At 38.1% G+C, this 7,374-nt stretch overlaps 1 pseudogene; it reads left to right on the top strand.

Annotated features, from left to right (window-relative positions):
- On the top strand, nt 5,669–6,196 carry RPL26P25 (ribosomal protein L26 pseudogene 25; annotated as a pseudogene).

The raw sequence follows: 7,374 nt of genomic DNA, 5'->3' as shown, positions 1-7,374 counted from the left end.
ATCGTTTGCTTTCTTCCTTTTTCCTTTTGTTCCTGTCTTGTCAATTTGCTTAGAGCAGTAATTCTCAGGTGCTGTTCCCAGACCAGCAGCATCACCATCACCTGGAAACTTACTAAAATGCAAATTATCTGGCCCCACCTCAGACCTACTGAACAAGAAACTCTAGAGCTGCGGCTCAGCAATGTGTGTTTTAACAAGTCCTCCGGGTGATTCTGATGCATGCTAAGGTTTGAAAACCACGGGCTAAGAATTAAGGTTATCCTAAACAGTAGTAGGTGGCAGCTCTCAAAGAAGAAAGTAGACCTACAGGAGTTGTCAATGAATATTTAACAATGTATTTCTGATGCTTCCTGTGATAGAGACTGCTAAGTTGCCTTACAAATATTTGTTCCATTTTTCTCTCTCGAAGGAGGTTGTAGTTTTAGGTAGGCATGTTGTCCTCTGGCTAAAGACTAAATTTCTTGGCCTCCCTTGCAGTGAAGCATGGCTATGTTTCTCAGTTTTGACCAATGGGATGCAAATGGATTGGTAATGTAGAAGGGAGCTTGCTTATTCACATTTCTTTACACATCTTGCTATTGGAAAAGAATGTGACGGCTGCAATTATGGCAATTGTCTTGAACCAAATGAACAAAGACTATAGACCTTGAATTTGGTGCAGCCAAAAGTAGGAAGAAACTTGATTTCATCCTGACAACGTTGTAACTATATAAGTCTTGGAGTTATCTATCTCCAAATTCTCTTATGTGACAGAGAAATAAATCTCTACCTAATTTAGATGACCTTTTTCTAAATCCCTGTTACTTAGAGACAAATATAATCCTAAATAAGGTAATCCTTACTGAATCTGCAAAACAATACCCCTTCTTTTTCTCTACTTCCTCAATCCTTGAGAAGACGAGGTGATTTTATATGACTCTGCTAGTGGTCTCATAGGAATTCAGAGCATTTGGTAGAAAATTGCCTAATTCATCCACATGGTTTAGATTTTGCTTCTTGGCTGTTAAATGAAGCAGTGTATAAAGGTAAAAATAATTTTCTCATAGATTACTTTTCACACCGCAATGCAGCACAAGCTGCATTAACACCTACGGGAATATTCAGCGTCTCAGAAAAAGGCTGAGAGTTGTTCTATTTGTTTTATAGATGAGCAAATTAAGCCTAAAGACAGTAAAGTCACTTTGGTTTTAGATTATGTAATTGTACTATGAGCTCCTTGAGGGTAAGAAGTGTGTCTTATTAATATCTATGTCCTGCATGCCTATAAAAATATGTGGGATATAGTCAAGTCTTCAATAAATTTTGTTGAATCTGTAATTAAATGAAAGAGAACTAGGACTAAATTCAGCAGCTTCCTCCCTCAATTGATCTATTTTAGTGAAATAAATCAAGTAGAGATGATTTCTGGGTTGTCTGTGATTTTCTGGACTGAGTTTTAGCCTTAATTTTAATTTGGGGCACTTGGGGAGGTCTATGGAGAAAGGAGTAGTAGGGAATGTAGAATTTCCAAACAGGAAGATGTAGTAATTTTTTTTTTTTTTACCATGACAGCTGAAGGTCTCTTTACAGTCCTAATTTTGCCTATGGTAAGCTCTGATAATCAAGATGATCAAGGAAAAGTTGGTCTGAATTTCACTGGTTTAGTCATATTCTATTCTCTGACTGTTGATTATGGTCTGTGTCAAGAGGAGAAAGATGTGATGCTATTAATCTCATCTTTAACCCCAAGCCTGCCCCATCGTGGGGCTATATCATGAGCCTATTCCTCCCATCATTACTCCATAAATGGATTTCTCTTCATTTGTAAACCGTATCATGAACATGACACCACAACCAGCTTATTAACCTAAGTCCTTAGTGCTAATTGATGTCTCATTTAAAGGTATCTGGTTTTAATTGCTGGCTTTGTTACCTACTAAGCTGTATTTATTTGGGTAAGGTATTTAACTTCTCTGGACCTCATGCTTCTCGTATGTAATATGAAAATAATACTGCATTTACAGGGCTAGTGTAATAACAAAATTTTAAAAATAGTTTGAATTACCCCTTGGGTTATTTTCCACCTTCATAATGCAAGCAAACCCAGAGACTCCATATTTTACATTATAGAATAATATTTTATGTGGAGAAGAACTTCCCTAAGGTTCAAATTTGTGTCTCTGGAGATTTATTTACCCTTTCCTCAGGATTTATTACTAATTTGTACTCCCACAACCATTGTTCACTTTTAATTAAAGCACAAGTCTAAACTCATAGGCTAAAATACTTTTAAATGACACCCCCACAAAAAAAGAGAGGGGTAGGGGAAGTAAGTGTGAAGAGTAGCATGCAATCCACTTGTAAGTTCTACCTCATTCGTCTGCATTCATCCGACCAATCTTAGTGTTCACTGGTTGCTAGATGCTGCAGGCCCCTGGATGTTGAGTTACATGAATGAGTGAGTCTTTGATCTCATGGAGCTTATAATCAGAGCATCTCCTTGCTTCAATTCCAACCTGTTCTTTGTGGTAGGGATCATCTTTCCATCACCTCCCAGAAACATAAGAAAAGTAGAGACTTAAGAGAGTAAGGACCAAGGAAAGGTATTTTTCTCCTTGGGTAATTTCAGGCTGGTTCCAGATTCCTTCCTAAAACCCAGCTCTTCCACAGATACTTGACATGAAGTCTACTCACTTCAAGTAGAGACTCCACCCTCAACCAAAAGGATGTGGGCTACTGCTGATAGTTTACAGTTGTTACATCAGCACACAGCCAACATAAACTGCAGGTTACATTCTATTACATCTTGTCCTGAGCTCTTTAGTTGCATAGTCTGTATATAATGAATCTTAGTTCTATCCCTCATAAGATAATAGAATCCAAGTACCTTTGCTTTGGAGTCTTGATCTTCTATCATCTGTTCTAACGTTGTATCACATTACTTCCTTACTTGAACTCTCTGTTTCAGCCTAATTGAGCTACTTGTTGTCCCTAAATCAGATTATGCCTTTTGTTCATATTTTTATTCTCGTCATAGAAAATGTCATTTCTTATCCATTTATTTAAGTATTTGTTCTTCAATATCATCTCAATATGTGCCCTGTCTAGGAAGACTTCATGATCTAAATGAGCCCAGTCAGACCTCTTCCTGCCCAGTATTGATTATCACATCACTTAGTTGGTATTTATTTATGCTGCTGCATGCTGCTATTTATATGTTGTGGCCAAGTTATTTCTTTGATTGGACTGTATTCTCCTGAGGGGAGTGGAGAGTTCCAGGCCATAGGTACAATGTGTTTCCTGTGAAATTTATAAATGTTGAAAGTAAGTTTTTGATAAAATTTTGTGTTTTATTGAACACATAGATTGTAGAATTTTCTTTTTAAAGTTTTAAAAATGTTTGTAGACAACCAAAGTGTAATAATAACAGGGTCAGTGGACATTGATCCTAGTATTAAAAAGCAGTAGCAAGGTTTTGCTTCCAGTAATAGCAGAGTAGGTCCAATTGGGCCAAATCTTTTACAAATAACAACTACTGATTCTGGACATAATTAATACCAGAAAAAAAAGTAACCTAAAAGCACTTAAGAATGACCTCAAACATAGAAACTAGAATGCAGGGCAACATTTGGCAGAGGGGAATGGCATTGGGAGAATTTTCTGATTTTATGATTTTATGGCTCTTTGACTAGGTGTAGGCTTTAGTCTGGCCTCCTGTGGAGTGGCTAAAACTCTGGTGGAAACTTGTAGTTTTGCTGACTGAAGAACCAGAGGAACGACCACAGCAACTGGAAAGTAAGGGAGTATATTTTAGAGAGAAGACATTTAAATTCTGTGCAAAAATGACCCAAATATCTGTTTCATCACTGAACTACATAAGTGCAGGGCAAACTTCAAGCATCTAAATCTAAAAAAACTGAACAGAGATATCAGCTGCTTTTTACTATAGAGAAACAGTTTGGAGTTTGAGTCCTGTCAAGTTAACAGCCTGCTAGGATCAAAACAAACAAACAACATCAACAAAAAATCAAGACTCTTTCAAGGAATATAAAATATAAAAGTTCTACAATCTCTGTGACATATCATTTACAATGTTCAGGATAGAATCCAAAATTGCTAAATGTGAAATTACTAAATGTGAAGATAGGGAAACATGGCCCATACTCAAAAGAGGAAAAAGAGCAATCAATAGAGACCAACCTTAGTATTACCAAATGGTGGAACTAGCAGAACAGGGTTTTAAAACAACTATGCTCAGGGATGTAAGGGAAAATATGCTTGTAATAAATAAATAAATAGGAAATCTCAGCAGAGAAATATAAACTATATAAAGAAACAAATGAGATTCTAAAATTAAAAAATAAACACCTGAAATAAAAAAAAAATCAACTGGAGAGCAATAAGTACACAGAGCACTCAGATCTTGGTTTGGAAATATAATTCTTCCAAAATGAATGAATAAATAAACATAAACCCAGGGCTCTTTGGAGAAATGGCTGATTCTAGTGCTAGGACAGATAAAATATAATGTGGGCCTGGAGCATTTTGTATACCAGAAAGTAAGGAAGCGCGCGCACACACACACACACACACACACACACACACACACAGACGGATGAAGATTTTCAAAGGAACACAGGAGCCCGCTGAAAGAGCACCTACTGGTCAAAGCAGTAACAATTAAAGCAACAAAACAAATAAAGTAGTATTGAGTTATTACTTAAAATTCAAAATAAATATCCATGAGTTCGTACTGATATAAATAGATGATTGAATTAAAAAAATGCACAGGGGAGAAGAGGCAAACCATACTTACATAAGAATTCCAAACACTACATGTAGAAAATCTCTCCTTCAAGAGGTGGAGCTTACTCCTCCTTATGTCCTCAAGGGTGGGCTAGATTTAGTCATTCTCTTTGAAAGGATATAATAAAATAGGGAAAGCAAAAAGTAGTAACTTTAAGGTGGAGAAACCTGGCAAACAGGACATCAACTGATGTGGCGAAGGTTAACCACCAGTGGTGTCGTGTAGATATCATGTACTCTCAGGCATGATCCAGCAAGGAGGATATTTCTTCCCTGTTGTATTCTTGCCCAAAACCCTAAAGCCCATTTTAGTCATAAGAAAACACTAGACAAACCTAGATTGGGGCATTCTATGGGCTAACTGGCCAGTACTCCTCAAGACTGTCAAGGTCATTAAAAACGAAAAACAACAAAAAACTATCATGGATCGGAGAAAACTGGGGAGACATGACAGCCAAATGTCTCATCGTACCCTAGACTGGGTGTGGAACAGAAAGAGAACACCAATGGAAAAGATGTTAAAATGCAAACAGAGTCTAGAGTTTGGTTAATAGTAACATATCAGTGTCAGTTTCTTAGTTTTGACAAATGTACCATGGTAATGAAAGATATTAACAATGAGAGAAATTGGGTGGAAGGTGATAGCACACAGGGGAAGCCTCTACTATTTTTCTAACTTTTCTGTTAGTGTAAAATTATTCCCAAATAAAAACGTTTATTTTAAAAAATCACTGGAGAGGCTGAAGAACGAATTGGAGATGACAGAAGTGTCAGTAAATTTGAAGACTGAGCAGTAGGAAATATACAATCTGAAGAACAAAGTTAAAAAATTCCCCAAACCAAGATCTTTCATAAAAGCACATAACGACACAGCATGTGGCTGTCTTCCCTTTTGTGGCCATCACCAAAGTGGGAGCAGCCAAAACGACGTTCAATCCCTTTGTGACTTCTGACCAAAGCAAGAACCACCAAAGGCATTTCAATGCACCTTCTCACATTCACAGGAAGATTATGTCTTCCCCTCTTTCCAAAGAGCTGAGACAGGAGACAGAAGTGCAACATTTGATCCATGCCCATCTGAAAGGATGGCGAAGTTCAGGTTGTACCAGGACACTATAAAGGTCAGCAAATGGGCAAAATAGTCCAGGTTTACAGGAAGAAATATGTAGTTGACATTGAAAGGGTGCAGTGTGAAAAGGCTGATGGCTCAACTGTACACGTAGTCATTCGCCCCAGCAACATTTCATCACTAAGCTAAAAGTGGCCAAAGACCGGAAAAAGATTCTTGAACAGAAAGCCAAATCTCACCAAGCAGGAAAGGAAATGGGCAAATACAAGGCAGAAACAACTGGGAAGATGCAGGAATGAAGTAATCTTATATATAGGCTTTCATTAAAACTTGAAATGAAGAAAAAAACTAATATCAAAAGATCTAACAAAAATGAAGTATCAGAAGGAGAGGAGAGAGAGAATGGAGCAGGAAAATAAAATTGAAAGAATGATTTAAAAATTTGCCAAATTTGCTCGGGCACAGTGGCTCACATTGTAATCCCAGCATTTTGGGATTCTAAGGCGAGTGGATCACCTGAGGTGAGGAGTTTGAGACCAGCCTGGCCAACACTGTGAAACCCCGTCTCTACTAAAAATACAAAAAATTAGCCAGGTGTGGTGGCTCATGCCTGTAATGGTAGGCTGAGGCAGAAGAATCGTTTGAGCCTGGGAGGCAGAGGCTGCAGTGAGACGAGATGGTGCCAGTACACTCCAACCTAAATGACAGAGAGAGAGTCTCTCTCAAAAACAACAACAAAAAAAACTTCGCCAAATTTGACGAAAGACATAAATTTACAGATCAGGAAGCTCAATGAACCCCAGGTAGAATAAATAAAAACGCCCTCCCCCCGCCTAAAAAAAACCCCCACACATTATAATGAAACTACTGAAATCAAAGAAAAGGAGAAAATTCCAACAAAAGTAGAATGCTGTTTGGCTACATACATCAGCGTTTGGAAATCTCGCTGCGGTACTGGACTCGAGTAGAGGGAAGAGAGAACAGAATTTCCAAGCACATTAATGTAAGCTGTGTCTCTTGGTATTTGCATGCATTCACGTCACTGCATCTTGCTTTCTGTTTACGATCTGACTTGGGGAAAAAGTTAATTTGCTACATAGCAGTGGGTATTCTCTGCCCTTACTAAGTACCATGAGTAAGGGAGGGAAAAATCAGAGCTCAGAGACTAGAGTCTTCTCCATCCAGTCTCTGGAAGGCTGAAGTTAATGTTCAGTGCTTCACAGGAGCACTGGAAGCCCTCCATGTATAAAGTACCATGGAGCTTTCATGAGGATTGCAGGAATTCAGGGAGTATCTGTCAAATTAACCTCTTGCAAGGAAAACTGGGAGATCTGGGCTCTGGCAATACTCAACCTTTCCCCAAATCTTAAACTCCTATGTATTGACACTGGCCCTTGAGAAAACAAAGGACCTCACACATCTTACTCTACCTTTCCTTGTAGTCTTGATCTCTCTGAGTCTTTCCTTCTCCAAGTATATTATTCTTCTAGTAACACTTTTCCTTCCAACATGGCTCTAGG

The sequence above is a fragment of the Homo sapiens genome, chromosome 8, assembly GCF_000001405.40.
Source record: "Homo sapiens chromosome 8, GRCh38.p14 Primary Assembly".
In the NCBI taxonomy this organism is placed as follows: Eukaryota; Metazoa; Chordata; class Mammalia; order Primates; family Hominidae; genus Homo; species Homo sapiens.
Note: the sequence above shows the minus strand (reverse complement) of the source record. Positions and strands in the feature narration are given on the sequence as shown.